Genomic DNA, 20,247 nt, shown 5'->3' on the forward strand with positions numbered 1-20,247 from the left:
AGATCTGGGAGAATCCATTTATTCAGATAAGCCTCTAAACACTTAGGTGGTCCTTGGAAACTGACCCAAACTCAGACATGCCAAGGTCTCCTCACCACTAATCCACATCCTTAGGCTCAGGCTGCCCTATAACTGGATGTACCAGAGATTTCTGCAGGACCTATTCTCCATGTTACACTTTTTCAATATGATTAGGAAGGGAAGGAAGTAGCATTTACCTTTATTCTTTCCTTTACTCATTCATCATCCAACATGTACAAGGCATGATGGAGAATACAAAGACAGGTTTACACCTTCCAGACATTGCAACCCACTGAGAAAGCTAATACAGGGACCTAAATAACTACAAAAAATGCATGTTATAGGCCTTAAGAGTAGTCCCAATCAAATGCTCAATGAGAGGAAGGCAAAGAAAGCTTCTGACTTAAGTGCCCTGAAAAGGCTTTATGGAAGAAGGGGGATTTCTGACTTAGGTTTTAGAAGACAAGCTAGATATTATCAAGAAGAGACAAGAGGAAGTGACAGCCCAGATGGAGAGAATGGTATAAGCCAAAGGTGAGAAAAGACAAGATGAAGTTAAGAAATGAAGGGGTAGCCTGGGCATGGTGGCTCACGCTTGTAATCCCAGTACTTTGAAAGGCTAAGGCGGGCAGATCACCTGAGGTCAGGAGTTCAAGACCAGCCTGGCCAATATGGCAAAACCCCGTCTCTACTAAAAGTACAAAAATTAGCCAGGCGTGGTGGCGGGCGCCTGTAATCCCAGATACTCAGGAGGCTGAGGCAGGAGAATCGCTTGAACCCAGGAGGCAGGGGTTGCAGTGAGCTGAGATTGCCCCACTGCACTCCAGCTTGGGCAACAAGAGCGAGACTCTGTCTAAAAAAAAAAAGAAAAAAAAAAGGGTAGATAGGTGTCCTTTGGCTGGAGCATAGGAAGTAGCATATGACAGGCAGCATAATTTGGAACAAAATTGTAAAAGGCCTTGAACAACATGATAAATTGCCATAATCTTACGCAGTAGTCAATGGGAGAGCCGTTGAAAAAGTTAAACAGAGAAGTGAGATGAGCCAAGCAATAATCCAGGATTGTCTGGTGGCGGTGTATAGAATGGCCTTTAATTTTGAAAGGCTGAAGGTCTGGGAATGAGTAAAGAGTCTTTTACAACAGACCAACTTAAAGCAATAAGGTCTTAAAGTGAACTAGTGGCCAAGAGAGTAGAAATGAAGAGAAGGAATAACAAACAATTTGGTAGGGAAAGAGGAAAAATGAAAAGATATCTCTCAGGTCTTGAGTCAGTGCCTGGAAAAATTTACGGTGTGAATGAAAATGTTTGGGCTCAAATTTATACAAAGATCTAGAGATTTAAAAATTTTATTTCAAGACTGTCTATGATGTTGTTCTTTTTATTTTTTATTTTTTTCAAAAAAGACCATCAATTCCCAGGATCACCCTGGACAGCTGGTTGCTCTCACCACATTCCTTCATAAGGCTGCTTTTTCCATGGTATTAGCTTGTTTTGGAATATGGACAGGAGTGTTGGAAAGAGTGAAGAGTTCTTATTATGATCAATCTAATGCCAGCCTCACTATCTTTCCTATTTGGACAGCCCCTAAGGATGCATATGGACCATCTCAATCTGCTCTCTCGTCTAGACAATCAGACATATCCTTCATGGCAAAGGCAAAGAAACACATTCTTTTGAGAGCATCAGAGACCCATGGGTCTATTGTAATGACATTCTCTATGACAGCACTAGGTAATTCTTCAATACATTTTAATTCACAGTAACCAAGGTGCCTCCAGGGACAGCAGGTCCTTCAACTCAGGCAGCAAATGGGAAATATTACATTTCCTCAATGTCAGGGCATCGATAGTAACATTCTGCATTAAGAAGCAGGTCTATGGGAAAGTTAGTGGAACCAGACTCTTTACCTGTAGTGGGCAGGGGCCAAGAGAAACAAAACTGGCATCATTTTCAGGGTTGGGAAATCTAACCTGACCACACAAATAATTAAGCTGAAAGGCCACTTCATGCTCCCCCAATAAACCCAGATGTTGCACTTCACTTTAGGTAAACGTTATTTTTAGAGACATAAGAATTCAGCATCCAAAATTTATCACCCATCTGAGTGGGAGACACAGAACACAGAACAGATTTATATGTTTAGGGGGTAGGAATGGGGTTTAAGCTCAATAAAATCTTAACTGTGCTTTACTTTTTAATTTAACTTTCAAACATTTCTTTCCTGTTTTGTGACTGAGAATCTCGTACATGTCACCCTTTCAGTGAAGTATCACAGGAAAGACATTTTTGTGGTGTTTAATGGAAATAATTTTTCTTGTGGTATTGCTCTGATACCCTGGGAAACTGGCTCCCAGAGATAAATTAGACTAAAAGCCATCTAGTGCTAATTTATTAAGCAGTCAATGGTTTAAAACAACTTTCTCTGTTTCAGCTCACTGGAGATCTGTTACCGGCTCTTGAGAAGACAGCAAAGAGCCAAAGACTGATAAATTTCATAGATTATCCTGACACAGACAAAGTGAAGTGTTGGCATAGAAGGGTTTTGTAGCTGGGAAGGGGTAGTACACACTGTGGGTATGTCTATGCATGTGTACTTTACACACCTCCAACATTCAAACTTCAGTCTTCCACACTGGACCTCCCATAATAGTAGTTGAATATGCTGAAGAAACAAAAATTCTCTCTCAGGAACAAGTCTCTATAAAGAAATATCTCCTAAATTTTCTCCTACTAGAGTGTACCACAGATCAGAAAAGTTCCATCTGTAACGGAAAATATTCATGATCTTCCCCAGGGTTCTAAAGACCTCATTTTTCTACAGATGCCCTATGACAATGGTTCTTAGCCTTGGTTTCAAATTAAAATCACCAGGGAGCTGATGTCTGGGCCCTACCCTTAGAGATTCTGATGACTTTGGTCTGAGGTATGGCCTAAACTTTGAAAGTTTTAAATCCAGGTGATTCTAATGCAGTAAAGCTCAAGAACCACAGCCCTATAAGATACTGTCAGAGATTCAGGTCTATCCCACATCCGTGACTACCAGGTGACTAAGCTGTTACTATGTATCCCTTTTTTTTTCTGAAAATTCAGATCATGGTCACTGACCAGAAACACAGGGACATCAGAAATAAAGGACCAACAGTAAAATGTTTTGCGTAGCTGCTCAACTCCAAATGCTATTCTATGTGAAGGAGACTGGATGATTGAACCTGTGGAGGAAAACGCAGCTAGAATAAAGTATTGAGAAGAGGGAAAATGACTTGCTGTTCGTTTAAATTGAATTTTTTTTCAAAGGCAATATGCCACTGACCCTCTCTTCAAAGACAGAGAAGCTCCTGAGCAGAAGGCAATACTACCTTTTATGACCAGAACTAATAATTACCCTCTACATCTTAAGATGCATAAGAATCACCTGTAGAGCTCATTAAATATGCAACTGCCTAGGTCCCACCCCGGGGAGATCCTGACTCAGTAGAGCTGGAGTGGGGCCCAGGAATCTGATGTTTTCAAAGCTCCCCAGGTGATTCTGATTGAGGTGCGCTGTGCCCCACCTTTGAGAAACACTGAGTCATTCTATCTCCAGGCAACCTCATGAATGGTTCTTTTGCACAAACTGAATTGCTCTTCTTTGGTAAAATATATTATCAAAGTCAAGGAAAAACAGGGATTGTGTCTTTAGTGAAATACACTGCAAAATATTTTTTGGAAGGCATTTAACTAAAATTTATATTGAGAAATCTTCAGTCCTTTTTGGGTATCCAAGTGCCTCAGCATTTCCTCAAATTACCTACAGAGAAGAATGAAGATGAATTTCTACCCACATACAACTCTACCCACAAATTACAGCCAATATAGTTCTTGGGAATAATGAGGGATTTTTCAAAATCAAAATCCCTTCATGCTTTGAGGGATCACAAACACTGATGAGGAAAATACAACCATGAAAACAAGCACACATGCTTTATTCAAGGAATTTGGGAAAGGGAATGGATATATTCCTCCATGCTAGAAGTTACTCCCTTTTCATGATTAATATGGAAAAGCTGTCCATATTTATGTTGATTTTTTAAGGTGACACATTTTCATTATGGCAGTTTTACCCACTTAGCATCAAAGATAATGGAAAGAAACAAAATGTCATTTCCAGTTTGGGATGGAAATGTAATAACTGGAACTTACCCAGTCTCTCCTTCCAATTCAATGTGTGTGTGTTATCAGAGTAGAGCTGTACATCTGCAAGATGCAGCTATAATTATTTGGCACAAAACTTTGGAATCCATAGCTTGTGAACCTAAAATTTACTCAGAATTTATAATTCTACTGTAAATAGGGAAATGTGTATGCGTTGAGTGTGTGTGTTTGTGTGTGTGTGTATGTGTGTGTGCGTGTGTATGTGTGTGTGTTTGAGTGTGTGTGTGTGTGTGTGTGTGTGATGGGGGCAGAGATGGATATTCCTCACTTCTTTGTGTTTTTCACTCAAAATTGCCCCGGTACTCTAAAGCTCTCCAGCCTTGAACATTGTTCCCGTGCTGTGCCCACGTTCCATTGGCACAGGCACGGAATGGTATGCTTGGAATGTCTCCACCCTCCAAAATATTTTTGGATCAAGCTTATCCCTTTTCCCTGAAAAACCTCTGTTGTACAGCATTTGCTTCACTGACTTTTATATTTTTGAATGTGGACCAAATCATGAAAACTCCAGGGCCCCAGTCAACTGTTAAAAGTTCTGTTAACCCTCTGACATCAACAGAATTCTCACTGAAGGAGAGCAAACATGGAGTTCTCTGCTTGGAGTCTAGTCTCTTGTGTCATATTTACCTGCAGGCTCATTTCTAAATGCTCTTGAATTTAGACTTCAGCTTAGAGAAGCTAATTACCATCCAATTTATGTGAAAATAAATGACTTTCTTTTGTAGTTTCCTCTAGATGGGCTTGTTTTTCCTAGTGCGAACTGACAATCTCAGTCAAAGACTGGAGCCTCAGAGGGACTTGCAGGGGAGACTGCGTTTCCTCTAAGTCAAATTAGTGGGGATGTTTTCACTTGTATCCCTATGAAGTCAGTCAATAAATAATAATGTTTATAACAGTAATAGCACTATTAAAGTGTTATTATATGTGCCAGGTACTGGGATAAAATTGTCACATACAGTATCTCATTTAATTTCCATAATAATCATAGGAGATGGCATCCCTATTTTACTTTATTATTTATTTATTTGTATTTTTGAGACAGAGTTTTGCTCTTGTTGCCCAGGCTAAAGTGCAATGGCGCGATCTCGGCTCACTACAACCTCCATCTCCCAGGTTCAAGCGATTCTCCTGCCTCAGCCTCCCAAATAGCTGGGATTACAGGCATGTGCCACCACATCCGGCTAATTTTATATTTTTAGTAGAGACAGGGTTTCACCGTTTTGGTCAGGTTGGTCTCGAACTCCTGACCTCAGGTGATTCAACCATCTTGGCCTCCCAAAATGCTGGGATTACAGGTGTGAGCCACTGCACCTGGCCAGCATCCCCATTTTAGTCATAAGAAAACTTAGATCACAAAGGTAGCATGTGGCACAGTCACAATTTTTTCAATTACCATGGGTTTATAAAAGAAAAAATGACAGTGAAAAGATTTTATGTATCCTCAAGAAAACTATGATTAAAATGAAAATTAAACTTTGTTTCTAACGTATCTGTGATAGCAACATATTTTGGGGTCACTTAAGTGGGTATAGTGAAATACTTTGGAAAAAAATTCCTTTTAAAATCTTGTTGGCATTTAAGTGACACTTTGGCAAAACACTATGAAAACATCTGGTCACATCTTCTCAACACTAATTTCTTCCCTAAATGTTGTTTTTAATATGTCACAGTTGTTAAATTTGTAACAAGTAATGCCCTTGAGACTAAACAACAGTGCCTGGTATGTGAAAAATGGACAATGCATTTACAGCAGTAAAAACCAAAAGGAAATTTTAAATAAACATTTAATTGAGTACAAATAGCCTGAAAGTTATTTTGGTGGAACTTGCCCAATCTGTGTGCTGACATTAGCAGCAGGATGTTCTAAATAAACTCTGTTAAAACAAATGTTGTCTTCTTCAGTTGAGACATAACTGATCAGATTCAGTTCTTCTGAAGGATTATGGCTAGGGAAGGAACACTTGTTAGTTGGAAGGAAACTCTCCATTCATAGTCTCAGAACAAATGCATAACCACCAAAACACCAGGGAGAATGGAGCTGGGTATTTGGATATTGTACAGCAACTTCAAAGTAGACAACAAAAAGGAGAAAAACCACCACCAACCACCGATGTTTGCATATCGGTTACCCAAAGTCCATGGGCCTGATTCACTTCCTCTCTAACTCTAAAAGGATTTTTCCTTCTAGATAAAGCCCTGCATATTTGAATAGAATCCAACATATGTACTTGTCTCAGGCTATATTTTGCTCTTGCTGTATTATAATTTTGTGCAGTGGAAAGTCTTGCAAAGTTCTACAATGAGGGAAAAATTCAAAACACAGATCATATTCAGGCAATTAGTAATGCAGCTGAGAAAGAGGGGCTGTGTATGTCATATAGCCAATTATTTGAAAACAATTATTTTTCAGTTTCATGTATTGACTATTTCCACATATGGATAGACAGATGCTTTTGAGCAGAAATGTTTTTCCACTGATATGGAATCCTTGAAGAAACCAGATTGGCTTTGATGTGATTCAGAGATTGTGTCATTCATCAAATGGTTTTAAAGAATGTGACTAACCTTAGGGTTCGTTCAACCTGAAAATAAACACAGATGGTTTTGGGTGAACAAACTATTTTCCATAGCAGATTTAACCATACATGTAATGGAATATGCATCCTTTGTATTTAGTGCCACATTTGACTTAACATAAAAGCAATTAGAGTGAACATGAGTCAAACTTTCTAATATAGTAAATGTGTAACTTAGTCCCATCCCATTGAAAAAAATTTTATATTGAAATATTTTAAAACATACAGAAGAGTTGTATACATATTACAAAGAACTTTTATTCTTGAATCTTTTTTTTTTTTTTTGAGATGGGATCTTGCTCTATTACTCAGGCTGCAGTGCAGTGGCATGATCACAGCTCACTGCAGCCTTGACCTCGTGAGCTCAAGCAATCCTCCCACCTCAGCCTCCTGAGTAGCTGGAACTACAAGCATGCACCATCGCACCTGGCTAATTTTTCTATTTTTAGTAGAGATGAGGTCTCACCATGTTGCCCAAGCTGGTCTTGAACTCCTGAGCTCATGTGGTCCCTTCACCTTGGCCTCCCAAAGTGTTGGGATTACAGGCATGAGCCAACTTGCCTGGCCAATTCTTGAGTCATTTAAGAGTAAGTTGTAGGCATAATTTTCTATTTCTCCTGAATAATTCAGTATGTTCTTCCTACAAATGACCTGCAAAGCAGGAAATTAACACTGATATATTATTACCACCTACTCCAGAGTTTCAACTATTGCCCCAACAATGTACTTTATAGTAATGGATCTCAAACTTTAGTGTGCTACAAAATCAATGGGAAGTCTCAGTAAATACAGATTAGTGGGCCCAAATCCAGGGTTTCTGATTAAGTGGGTTCAACATGAGGTCCAAAATTTTATATTTCCAAGCAAGTTCCTAGGTGGTGCTGAAGCTGCTAATCCTGGGACCACACTTCAAGAACCATTGCTTTATGGCAAAAAATCCAATCCAAGATCACATGTTGCATTTAATGACTGTGTCTGTTTAGTTTCCTTTAATATGAGGACATTTTTCAGCTATTCCTTGACTTACATGATCTTGTGGTTCTGGCAGCGTACAGGACAGCTAACTATACTCTACAGACTATCCCTTAATATGGGTTTGTCTGATGCTTCTTCGTGATTAAATTCAGGTTATGATTTTTAGCAGGAATATATCACAAAAATGTTCATCTTATTGCATCCTCTTGGGTGGTACAGAATTTTAATTTGCCTCATTACTGGTGTTAACTTTGATCACTTGATTAAGATGGTCCTTGCCAGGCTTCTCTACTACAAAGCTACACTTTTTCCTTTACATTTGTAATTTTAAAACATATTGTAGGGAGATAGTTTGTCACTTAAGTAAATATCCCATCTCTCATCAAATTCTTATCCACTAGTTCTAGCAGCCACTGATGTTTTTTGCCTGAATTGATTATTACTACAACAATTGCCAAATGCTGTTTTCTAACTCTGTCTTCCCTTCTACATTTATTCATTGCTATTCTACTGTTTTATTTCCCCCATTTATTTATTCAGTATTTATCAGTATAGACTGATGGATTCCTATTTTATTTAATGGGTTACAATCCATTATTTTGTATTTATTTTGATGCTTAAATTGTCCCAGAGTTGGCCTGTGGGAGTCCAGTCAAGCTGACTTCTGTGTCCTTTCTTTATGTCCCAGCATTACTTCAACATTCCCTTGCTCTCTTATATCAAAAGATGTTCTGGCTCTTCTTTTACTTTTTCTACCCAGACCCAAAATCAATCATTTTCTCAAAGAGACCTAGTTGCTTTTAATGGGGAATGGTATTTTAAGATCAAGATATAGGTTCAATTTATCTTTTACTATTGGTATATTGCTGCTCCTAGTCTCTCTCAGTAGACAGAGCTAGCAGATATATGTATATGTAAACACACTCACACATACATACCAGAGTTACATCTAAATTTAACTCTCTGCTTATATTATTGAAATGTGCATGTGTGTACATATAGGCTTGCATCTATATATTTCTATTTTGGCCTATGTATTGATAATCATGAGTTCATGCCTCCAATTCCAACCCAACATCACAGGATTCAATCTAGCTTTCTTCCTCTCTCTAACTCCATTATTCTCAATATTTTTACTTAATTAGCCCCCAATATGTAACAATCTCCCAACTTAACCAGAATAAGAAGTTACTAATTACTAAAGGATACCTGAAGTTTCAGGAGGCTTTGTATACCCAAAGAAAACCAAGCTAGCATTTTTTTGGTGGCTTATAGGTCATCTTACCACAATAGTATCATCCTAAGCAACTCAAAAAATTAACTCAGCTGCATTACAAAAAGTCAAGTGCTTTGAAGTGTGAGCTGCCTGTAGCTATCTCTACTTATACTCATCAGATACACAAGTTTTCCATTCTCTTCAGGGTCAGATCATGAAGTTAGAGGTGATCTCACAGCCTAACATAGTTTAAAGTTTAAGAGCTGACTCCTCCCTGTACCCCCTCCATAGGAATGACTGCTGTCAAGAAGACCCTCCAGAGCTCCTGGAAGGGGACATTGAGTTAAATATGACTAATTGAACACATATATTTACCTCCTATTCCACCTCAAATCTCACCAAAAGAGGGAATGGGGAGAAAGGAGGTATTAACTCAAACAAAGAGAACGGGATATCAGGAAAATGCAAATCAAAACCACAGTGAGGTATCATTTCCACCCTACTTGGGATGGCTATTATCAAAAAGACAAAAAATAAATGCTGACAATGATGCAGAGAAAAGGGAACTCTTACACACTGTTATTGGGAATGTAACCTAGTATAACCACTATGGAGAGCAGTATGGAGAGTCTTCAAACAAAAAAAAAAACAGCTATGAATAGAACTACCATATGATCCAGGAATCCCACTTTTGGGTATTTATCCAAAAGAAAGGAAATCAGTACATAAAAAAGACATCTGCACCCCCATGTTTATTGCAACATATTCACAATAGCCAAGATATGGAATCAACCTAGGTGTCCACCTACAGATGAATGGATAAAGAAAATGTAGTATATGTACACAATGGAATACTATTCAGCCATAAAAAAGAATGAAATCCTATCATTCCCAGCAACATGAATGGAACTGGAGGACATTATATTAAGTGGAAATGAAATATCTCATGTTCTCACTCATATGTGAAAGCTAAAAAAAATGAGTGCATAGAAGTAAAAAGTAGAACAGAAGATACTAGAGGATGGGAAAGGTAGAGGGAAAGGGAGAGATTTGTTAAAGGATATAAAATTACAGCTAGATAGGACGAATAAATTCTAGTGTTCTATAGCACCATAGGATGACTATATAGATATAGTTTCAAATAGCTAGAATGAGAATATTGAATGTTCACAACACAAAGAAATGATAAATGAGATGGATTTGCTAATTACCCTAATCTGATCACTATACATCATATGTATCAAAACATCACTATGTACCCCATAGATATGTACAATTATGGCTTCCATTTAAGACATTTTAAAAATATGATTCTAAAAAAATTAAAAATTTAAAAAGCAAAACACCCCACCGATATGGTTTGGATTTGTATCCCTGCCCAAATCTCATGTCGAATTGTAATCCCCAAAGTTGGAGAAGGGGCCTGGTAAGAGGTGACTGAATCATGGGAGTGGATTTCCTTCTTGCTCTTCTCATGATAGTGAGTGAGTTCTTATAATATCTGGTTATTTAAAAGTATACTGTAGCAACTCCCCCTTTCCTCTCTTCCTCCTGCTCTGGCCATGTGAATATGTGCCTATTTCCCCTTTGACTTTGGCCATGACTGTAAGTTTCCTAAGGGCTCCCCAGCCATCCTTCCTGTGCAACCTGTGGAACCATGAGTCAATTAAACCTCTTTTCTTTATAAATCACCCCAGTCTCAGTCTCAGGTATTTCTTTATAGCAGTGTAAGAATGGACTAATACACCCACAAAAAACCCCAAAGGAAATGGAAAAGAAAATAATGGCAAAAAAAGTTTAGAAAAAATAAGAAACACCAGTATCTCCAAAATTGGGCATGGAAGGCAAACTTGAAGACAAGAAAATTCATTAAAGTTGACATAGGAAGCTACATTCATAAATCCTCTTCCTCATTGTTTGTTGCAGGCTGCAGTCTCTTCCATATCTGAGCAAAAAAACTTTCTCCACACTAGAAAAAAAAAATCAAAAACCATAGAGGCCAGATTCAGGGATGATAGACAGAGCTGAGAAAAGGTATCCATATTGAAAATGGGGATTAAGTGAAAGTCAAATTACTGAATGGTGAAAATTCTGACCCCCGTACCCCCACCTCAAAATATTCAACATATACCCTTCTCCCCATATGACTCCAAGGACCTGACACAGGCTTTTATAATTCAGTAAAAGATTTAAGATTCCTTTGGGAAAATACACCAGCCCAAAAGATAAGACTCAAAATTCTGACAGTTTGGGGTTCTCTGATAAAATGACTAAGCCAGATCATCCTACACCAAAATCCACCATTCGACAGCACACTGACTATCCTCATACCTCTCCCTTAACTATGAATGAGCTGGAAAAAGAAAACTTCAAAGCTCATGGGAGTATGGAAAAATTGTTTCTTTCAGAACATCATTTGCAAAGTTTTATATGGTGCCTGAACTTCCCAAGAACTCTTATCCCTCACAACAGATGACTAGAAAGGGACTTTTCCTTCATTTGAAACTGGAGGAACTATGATGTCAAGAAAATGGAGACAACTTCTAAAGGTGCTTTGCTCTCTCAACATCTTGGTGATTTTACATTAGGCACCTCTGGAAGTCACATTAACCCTTCCATATAAAATGTAATTATTTACTTTGTAAATGTAATTAGTCCTGTAATTTTTCAACTTGTAGGAACTCTAAAACTCTACTGTATAGATTGAGGTCATTCTAACCTCTACTAATTAGAGTCACTTAACCTATACTAATGCCAATTGACTACAAGTTCAGGGACTATAATCTGAGAAACCATGTACCTTGCTGTTTGGACAAAAGTTTCCCTTCCCAGGAATTCCAGCTCCACTTCCTGCAATTGAGTACCACAAAATTCTTCTGAATTCTTACATCCTCTGTCAGTTTAGGCCCTCTAAGAAGCAGACATCAAGACAAAATTAAACATGTAGTTGTTTTGAGGGAAATACCCATGGAAGATAAAGGTGAGAGTGAGAAGCAGCAGGCAGGAGATACCTTCAGATCACAAAGGAGTGAAGGAGGTTTGAGTAGGAAAAGCCTCAGACTACAATCAAGGTCTGAAATAGCAAGGCCAGGCCGATGAGAAACCCCAGAGCAAAAACTGCCCATCAAAAGAGGCCCACATTGGGCAGGAAAGGCCCAGCTCCTGTACCCACAACATGCTCAGCCATTGGCTGGGAGCAGCAGCTTTGTGAGATCACGAACTTGGTGTGAGTGAGTGTTGCAGTGGATCCCAAAGGTGCGGCAGCTGGAGGCTTGTGCTCCTGGAGGGAAATCTGAGCAGGGCTCTCTTCCACAGCTGCCATACCTCCTTTACCTGGAACCTGGAGATGCTCCTTGCAATGAATGATCCAGAGCAGCTTATAGTCAAAGGGAAGGCTGACTCTGGAACTCAAGCCTTCTCACTCAAAGGCCAGTAGTCTTTGTTTCTGGTGAGGGCCAGATGAATGAAGCATAAATAGTTTGTCCTGTTTTATCAGTAGCTGTCACAAGGCATCATTTCTTTGGCAGCAGATCTTAGCACAGTTTATATGTTTAATATTTAACATATATCAGTAACCTATGACTCAAGCTGATCACAGACTCAAATATAATGTACCTTGTGGATGAGCAAGAAGTAAAAATAGTGTAAGCATTTCATCTTGGCCGGGAAATAGATATGAATGTTCATGGAAGAATGAACAAAGGAAGAGGCTTGCAGGTAAATGTTGGCCACACTTGCTTGTCCTAGAAATGCCAATCACTGTCTCCCACTCCACTCTCTTCTCAAAGAATCTTGTTCCAATTTCAGCCCTAATGAGGAGATGAGTGCATGAAGCTATACTTGTACTGGGTTGTTCTTTTATTCTTTCCAGGTTGGGTCAATTAATTCTCTCTCTGGAATTTTGAACTGAGATTCACAGAGAAGCTGTTGTGAAGGAGCCATGGATAGCTGGAGGTAATGCCCTATAAAATCAAATTGGAGTCATAGGAGGTGTTATAAGTTCATGCCATTTTCTAGTCAAACTTTTGAGGAAACAGTCCTTATCACCTTTATCCCATCACCAATTTATCTCATCTGCATGAGCTTTGGATCTAAAAGATCTGGGTGCCAGTCACAGCTCAGCCACTCACTAGCTTGCCTCTCTGACCTCAGCTTCCTCATCAGTAAAGCACACAAACTAAGACTTGCTTTTCAGGCCTTTCATAAGGAACAAAAATGATAATGTATATCATATACATTTTGTTTTGTAGGCTTACAAAACAAAAGTTGGAAATGCAGAGAAAATAGATTAGGAGTTAAGAACTGTATCAGCATTAAGTAAGAGTTGGTTTAAGTTAACACTGAGATTATTTTGATTCCTTGACATTGTGCAGTTTTGTGGGACAAAATAGTTATCAATTGTCCTAACACCATCCTGGAAATTCTAAGACTCTACCATGACGTCTTCCAGGGTCTTCCTAGTTAAAGCCTGGACTGAAAACAAGTAAGAAGCACTTTTTGGGTTCGTTCAGTTTTGAGGTAACAATAAACTCATCTTCAGACTGCCTGTGACCTTTTCATAATGACACCAGAAATATGAATAGGACATATTTTAAAACTAGCTTATCTAGAAAACCTCTTGCCCATTCCCATTCCCATTTCCTAACACAACTTTTTTTCCAGATCTTGCACAAACAGGAAATCAGAGTAAAGCCATCATTAGAGACAGGTGAACATATTTCTCTTAAGGCAAACAATACTTTGCTATACATATGCAAAATAAAAACGGGCAATAAAGCAAGTCATAGGGTGATTCAGAAACACTCCCCTCCCTACTCCCCTAGAAAACACTTCCTATGCTTGAAGTATTTTAATGGAGTGCAAGTCATTTGTGAGCCTGAATTATTCAGGTAAATGCCTCCTCTACTGTAGTTTGCATGTGCTGACATATATATGAGAATAAATGCAAACTAGCACAAGATTACCCTAAACACATGTGCTTCCATTTCCTTGGATCTCAAAACCAATGAGTTACGCTAAAACAATGGTTCTCAAAGTGTGGTCCCTGCACAGGCAGCATGATATAACCTGGGAATTTGAGAAAATTGCCAGTTATTGGACTCCACCCTACACCTACTAATGAGAAACTTGAGGGTGTGGCCCAGCAATCTGTGGTTTCTAGATCCTTTAGATAAGCCAGTGAAAATTGGGCCTAGCATCACCCATAATCAAGCTTTTCTTTCAAGGGTGAATAATATTAATACTTGTGCTGGGCCTAATAGTTTTGTTCTTTAGCTTTGTTTTGTTTTTCCTGACAAAGGAAGGATCTGAGTAAGGGAAGTCAATACTCTGGAAGACAAGTGACTTTCTGGGGGAAGGTGTTAAGCCCTTTCATTTTGTCCTCTTTGTTTAGCCCTTTTTATTCCAGTGGATATTTCTACTCTTATCTGGGAAGCTAACTTGGTTTTTAATTTATTTTTCATCCTAATTCATCTGCAATGGATTTCCCATAATATTGTATTTACCTCCTCTCTATTGGACATGATGAGTCTGCTGGTCTACTCACTCTTGAGAGAAGCTCTTTCTTTGAAAAAGCTATCTGTTTAAAATCTGTGTGATTCATCTTTTCTCCATCCATTTTGAGGCTCCAAGGCCAGTGGAAGAGTTCTGACTCAGGTCCAGTTGCAGGGTACAAGCCAGTAAGTCATGTTGTTTCTTGATACCACTTTCCCGTTTTTTTTTTAACATCATAGCCAGTGTGTCAAGTTGGTTTGCGTCCCCCAGGAAGCAACACCAGTGACTGTTAGTAAAGGAACACTACTTGGAAAGACCATTTTGAAGGCTCTAGTTAAAAGCAACAACTTAAAATGAAAAATTTTTAAGCCGCTTTATTTTGAAAGATTTTTGTTTTCAAAAATTAAACATTGTAGTTCTTCAAGAACTCTGTAGTTGGAAATATTTTCTCTCATTAAAAACGCAAAGCCTCTGGAGGAAATGATACTCTGAGCTTTGTAGCACAAATCAATGCCAAATGAAGGCCATAAACCATGTTTTGTTCTGCACTTGGCACAGTCTCCAAATATCTTGAACAAACAACGGCACTGTGCTTCAGACCCAGGGACCCTTACTTCTCTGGAAATTTATGATTGTCCATTATAGGAAAGTAGAAATGCTGAGGATTAGCAAGTCTGGACTAGGATTGGAGGAGAAACAAAGAAATTATTAAAAACATAAACAATTTGAATATTATGAGCACCTGTTTTCTAAAACCATTGCTTGGAAAAGCCATTCTTGCAAAGCCTATGTACTCAAAGGAAACTGGCTTTGGGTTTAGATGATCAATCTCAGCTGGCTTTGGGTTTAGATGATCAATCTCAGCTCAATGAAAGTACTCAGAACTGGCCTAGGTTGAGGTAGTGTGAGAAGGTAAAAGGGGATAAGGCAGGTTGCTTCATACAAATCCCATTCGTGGGAAAAATCAGGAATTCCAAATCATGATTCCCATGCCTTTGTCAGAATGCCTGTCACTTTACAGTTTGAATGCCGTTTCTAAATAAACAGTAGCTCTCCTATTTGTGTGGGCTGGTTGCTTTGCGGGCAAAGGCCACAGCCATGGGTTCTGGCCCTGCAAAAATATGCAGACTACATATTTTGGGGGCCATTTCTGTGATCAGGGAATCACAGGAAATCAGGGGCCCCATATGTCACCCATTTACCAATCCAAGCCAAACCTAAAGTCACAGGTAGAAAAAGGTGTTTACAAATGTTAAGAATCAAGAAAGCAACACTTGATATCACCAAACCACCTCAAAAAAAAAAATCTGGCATGACTCATTTCTGATCTTTGCTCAAAAGAAACCTAATTCAAAGAAGCATATTTTTTAAAAATGTCAGTAATTGCCAATGATAAAACTGAATGATAAAAACCTGATGTGAGAGCTTAATGATGCTACATTCACTTTCTTTTGCATACAGTGCATGTGGCTACATCTCTTTCAGGAATGTGCAAATTGACGGTTCATGCCTCAACTGTCTGATCACTAATCATTGCTTAATATCACTGCTTCTGCCTGAACCTGAACCTGAATGTGAACCTGAGTGGGACACTAGGCATCCTAGGAGCTACTGTTAAGAACTGGCATGGCACCATCAGCTTGTGGTGGTGGTGGTCTGTGTGTGCCGGTGTACGGTTTTGAGCTGGTTTGTCTTTCTTTTGAAAGAAAAAACTGTCCCTTATATAATATTTTTGCATTGTAGCTCTATATCCAGAAATCTGTGAGACGTTCTTATTAGTATGTTGTACTCCTGAAGGTCATCCCCTTTTACAAATCCCTGCCCCCAGCAAGTGGGCTGACACTTACAATTACAATGACATTAATAATAAGAGTTATGACTAAAAGTGAGCAAAAGTATTGGCCAAGGCTTATGGACTTCATTTGAGGCTTAATGTGGCACTTTGATTTTTCATTCAACTTTTCTTTTAGGAATTACTTTGCTAAACATATCCAGATTGTCTTTTGTGCTTAATACTATTATTATTTGTTATTTACTGCTACTGATAACTAACAGAAGTAACTGGCCTAAACTTTAAGTTACTGAAACTTGAAATAAAATTTTTTCCTTGCCATTTATATATGTAGTGGTTTTATGAAGCTCCTTGCCTTCTAATAGCACTGAGGAACTAATCAATATATTCTCTGATTTGTTGACTTATTTTGTATTCATTCATTTAGTCATTCAGTAAATACAGAAGAAACATCTACTATTCAGAAACCTTTTCAAAGAATTATTCCAAATCAAGATTTACTTTTAAAACCTTGCTAAAAAGACAATGTTTGCACTCTGAACAATGAAGTTCTGATCTATTAGAAATAAAAAAGAAAGGCTTGAGTTCTCAAATTCATCTCAACATAGACTCCATAAAGATTATATAACTGGAAGTAAATACCAGCAGTCTTTACCCTACAATGTTTGATCAGTGTCCAGATATCTTTATTTCCTATGGCCAGATTTTATACATTGATCCTTACAATTATCATAGGTAGGGTTAGACTAAATGCTCATTTCAAATAAATATTACTATATATGTCTCACAGTAAAGAGAATCTTTTGGAATGGCAAAAGTCTCTGTTGATTAGGTTTTCCTGGTAGTCTTGCAATGGATTCCCTGAAATATAAACTAAAACCAATGTTAATATCACATGTATTCACTATGTAAGACTAAATCTATCAAGTATCTATCAGTAACTAGCAATAAAAATTCTGTTGTGGTGTTTTGAATCTGGAATTGCTTATACTTTTATGAAGCTTATTGATTCAGACACTATTTTTAATAAATATTAATAATAAATATTTAGTAAGTGAACATATGCTAGAGCCAGGCATCACACTAAGTCCTAGGGGTATAATTCCAAATGAAATGGACATTCTCTTTGTCTTCATAGAACTTGGAATTCTGTAGGTTGTAATCATAATTTTTTTTTCAATTTTGACCCCATGAAAATAACCACAGACTAGTTTCCTTTTAAAGAAACAGAAAGCCAGCCATCAGGCAACTCTGAGAGCCACCTACAACTCTCTTGCTTAGATATTCTTGAGTTTGTTTCTCCATAATGGGGACATTACTTACAGCTTTCTATCTGAGGTTTTCATGACACCAGAGAGATGAGCCATAAAGAAATACCCTTGGCTGTTCAAACAGAAAAGCAAAGCAAAACAGAAAACAAACAAACAAATTTTATCATTCACATTCTCTTGCAGTCTAAAGGACATCATTTTTGAAATTCAATTCTCCCTTACCCCTGACCTTTCTCCACTTCCCATTATGTTCCCTGGATAAATCATCCCTTTGAATGGTTTTTTTTTTTCTATCTTTCAATTGTCTGGAGCATTCCTGCTGTGTCTGGGCATAGATCTCTTCTTTGGTATTTGATTAATTTCATGCACTTGACCTAACTAAGAAGCTGGACTGTACTTTGGACATACTTCAGTTGGCAAAATTAAATAAAACCCTAACCAGAGAAGCATAAGAATCATTAAAGCCAAAGTTTCTCATTAGCATTGACAGAAATTCAGATTTTTCCCAAATCGGTAATAGAACAGAAAGTACTAAAATTGTCAAAGGTACAGACCACAATGCAAAAAAATAAGGAGAGAGACTAGAGAGTGGATTCATACAGAGGGAGGCTGGGAAGGTTCACAGGATCTGAGCAGGGTCTGTGGAGAATTCCAAATGAAAAGTTTTTAATCATCTCCACTCCCTATCGCCACTTTGCGAGTTGCCATTATTGCATAGACCAGAGTACCTTTGAGTGAGGGGAATAAAAGGAATACAGTTCATTTTGTAACTAAAGATTAGAAATAGTTTTGCAATTATCTCCTTTCCTAAGTCACACATAAATCATTCAACTGCGAATCCAGATTGCTTTGTTAGGATTTAACTTAGTTCAAATGAACAGGCATAAACACGACTTGAGATGGAAAAAATCGTTTTCCTCTCATGAGAATCAACTTAGTCTGCTAGCCTAATTATCTGAATCTGTTGCTCCCTTCAGACATTGAGAATTCGATTACAGCATGGCTCTCAATCTTAGTACCCATAGAAGTGGAAGCTAACAAAACATGGTGAGGTAGACACTATGCTCCTTGGCATCCTGCTTTTAGCTGGCAACTTGAATACATTGTCCAGCATTGTTGGTCCTTTCCTGCCCACAGGTGCAGATCTGAGAAGCTCCAGGTTCCAGACAGGCATTCTGCCCACATCTGTGGGATATGTACCACTTTGCACTCCAAAGATGAGTTTTGTGGTTGGCATTTTTCTCCCATTTTCTACAGATAAAGCATCTCTTAACTGATGAATAGAAGTGGGCTTCCATTTCCTTCTCTATTACTCTTTTAAGAGATCTGGTGACAGGACTGAATTCCCGCTAATTCTCAGATGGACTGCCTGCTCTCTGCACCATGTCAGTGGTCCCAAATGACCTAGAAAGATAAATAGGTAGTGGTTCCCTCCTTCAAATATTCAGCATGACATGATACCACTGTGGATAGCAGAGACTCTGGCTCCCTGGTCGACGGTGGAGATGTGTTCTGGGGATTTTGGAATGCTGGTACCCTAGCCAAGGAGCACAACAATTCAGGAATGCGGTAGCTGTTTTTAGTGGCTCATGCATTTAAGCATCAGGCCTGCTTGTCTCTATAACAACTTTAAGTCTGTTTTTGTTGCCTAACTCTAAAAGTTAAAGAATTCTATGCATTTCTGTATGCATCAGATTTATTTAGTCTCTCTTCCAACCAGCAGATAAAGCGTTTCTCCAAAGCAAACTGCCAGCCTCTCACTTGTCTCATGATTGAACTTCAGGGATTGAAGCTGTATTCATTAATCCCCTTCTTACTCAACAAGGATTTATAACACATTTTCTATGCACTAAGCGCTAAAGAATAGACTCTGAAAGCTAGAAACAGCTCCAACAAGTCACTTATTTAGAAGGGTCCAAAAAATATGCTTGCTATTTTAAATCTCTAGAAGAAATTTTAAAGCCCCATCTCTGGAAAAACTGCCCTAAAAGTGAATCCCACCAAAGTCAAGAAATTCTTTCTATGGCCCAAAACCATTCTTGATCCAAGTTCTGCCTCACTGCCTTGAATGAAGATGGATAATAATAACTTCAGCATAATTCATGGATAATTCTGTATATTCATTGTTATTGAGTTACCAATTCCTCTTTTCATCTAGCTAAAAGTCTATAGTGTTTTTATGTTTACTTGTGGTACTATTCTCTTATTCCTTTAATCAAATTAGCTGTTTTTATTCAACAAGTATTTACTGAGTGGTCAGGGAAAGCTCCAGAGAAGATGACTAATTGAACTGCATCCTTAAAGGAAAGGTAAGATTTGGACAGACTGAAAGGACACAGAATGGCATTCTAGGAGAGGAACTAGTACAAACAGAGGCATAGGAGTAAAACAAATCAATAAATTGAGTGAGGGTAGAGTGAGGTGCTGAATGGAAAGAAACAGACAGGTATGAGAACTCTGCAATAACCCAGTTCTTCCCTAGATGAGTATTCACTTTCTTCCAGGAAGACAGGATGATCTTCTCTGTGGAATTCTCTTGAAGGCTTTTTAGATTTAGGAGTTTCTTTTTGTCAAGGCTATTTTATTTTTATTTTTATTTTTTTTTTAATTTTAAAGAGTTTATTTGAGCCAACAGTGATTCACAAATCAGGCAGCCCCAAATCACAAGTAGTGTGGGCTCTAACCAGGTAGGAATCGGGGAAAACTTTTA

The 20,247-nt window shown here is 38.3% G+C and overlaps 2 long non-coding RNA genes across 4 annotated transcripts in view; one reads left to right on the forward strand and one right to left on the reverse strand.

Moving 5' to 3' along the window:
* LOC105370507 (uncharacterized) overlaps nt 1-20,247 on the reverse strand; it is a 144,575-nt gene that overhangs the window by 58,700 nt on the left and 65,628 nt on the right. The window contains exon 5 of one of the 3 annotated variants that reach the window (XR_943884.2): nt 7,371-7,441. The exons of the other annotated variants lie outside the window; for them this stretch is intronic. This is a non-coding gene — a long non-coding RNA (uncharacterized LOC105370507). Of the gene's footprint in view, nt 1-7,370; nt 7,442-20,247 lie in introns of those variants that run through there. 3 annotated transcript variants of the gene reach the window in all.
* Nucleotides 12,232-13,497, forward strand: LOC105370505 (uncharacterized). Its single transcript, XR_943880.4, has 3 exons — nt 12,232-12,698; nt 12,853-12,935; nt 13,432-13,497. It is a non-coding gene; the product is annotated as an uncharacterized LOC105370505 (long non-coding RNA).

The sequence above is a fragment of the Homo sapiens genome, chromosome 14 (genome assembly GCF_000001405.40).
Source record: "Homo sapiens chromosome 14, GRCh38.p14 Primary Assembly".
Taxonomy (NCBI): domain Eukaryota; kingdom Metazoa; phylum Chordata; class Mammalia; order Primates; family Hominidae; genus Homo; species Homo sapiens.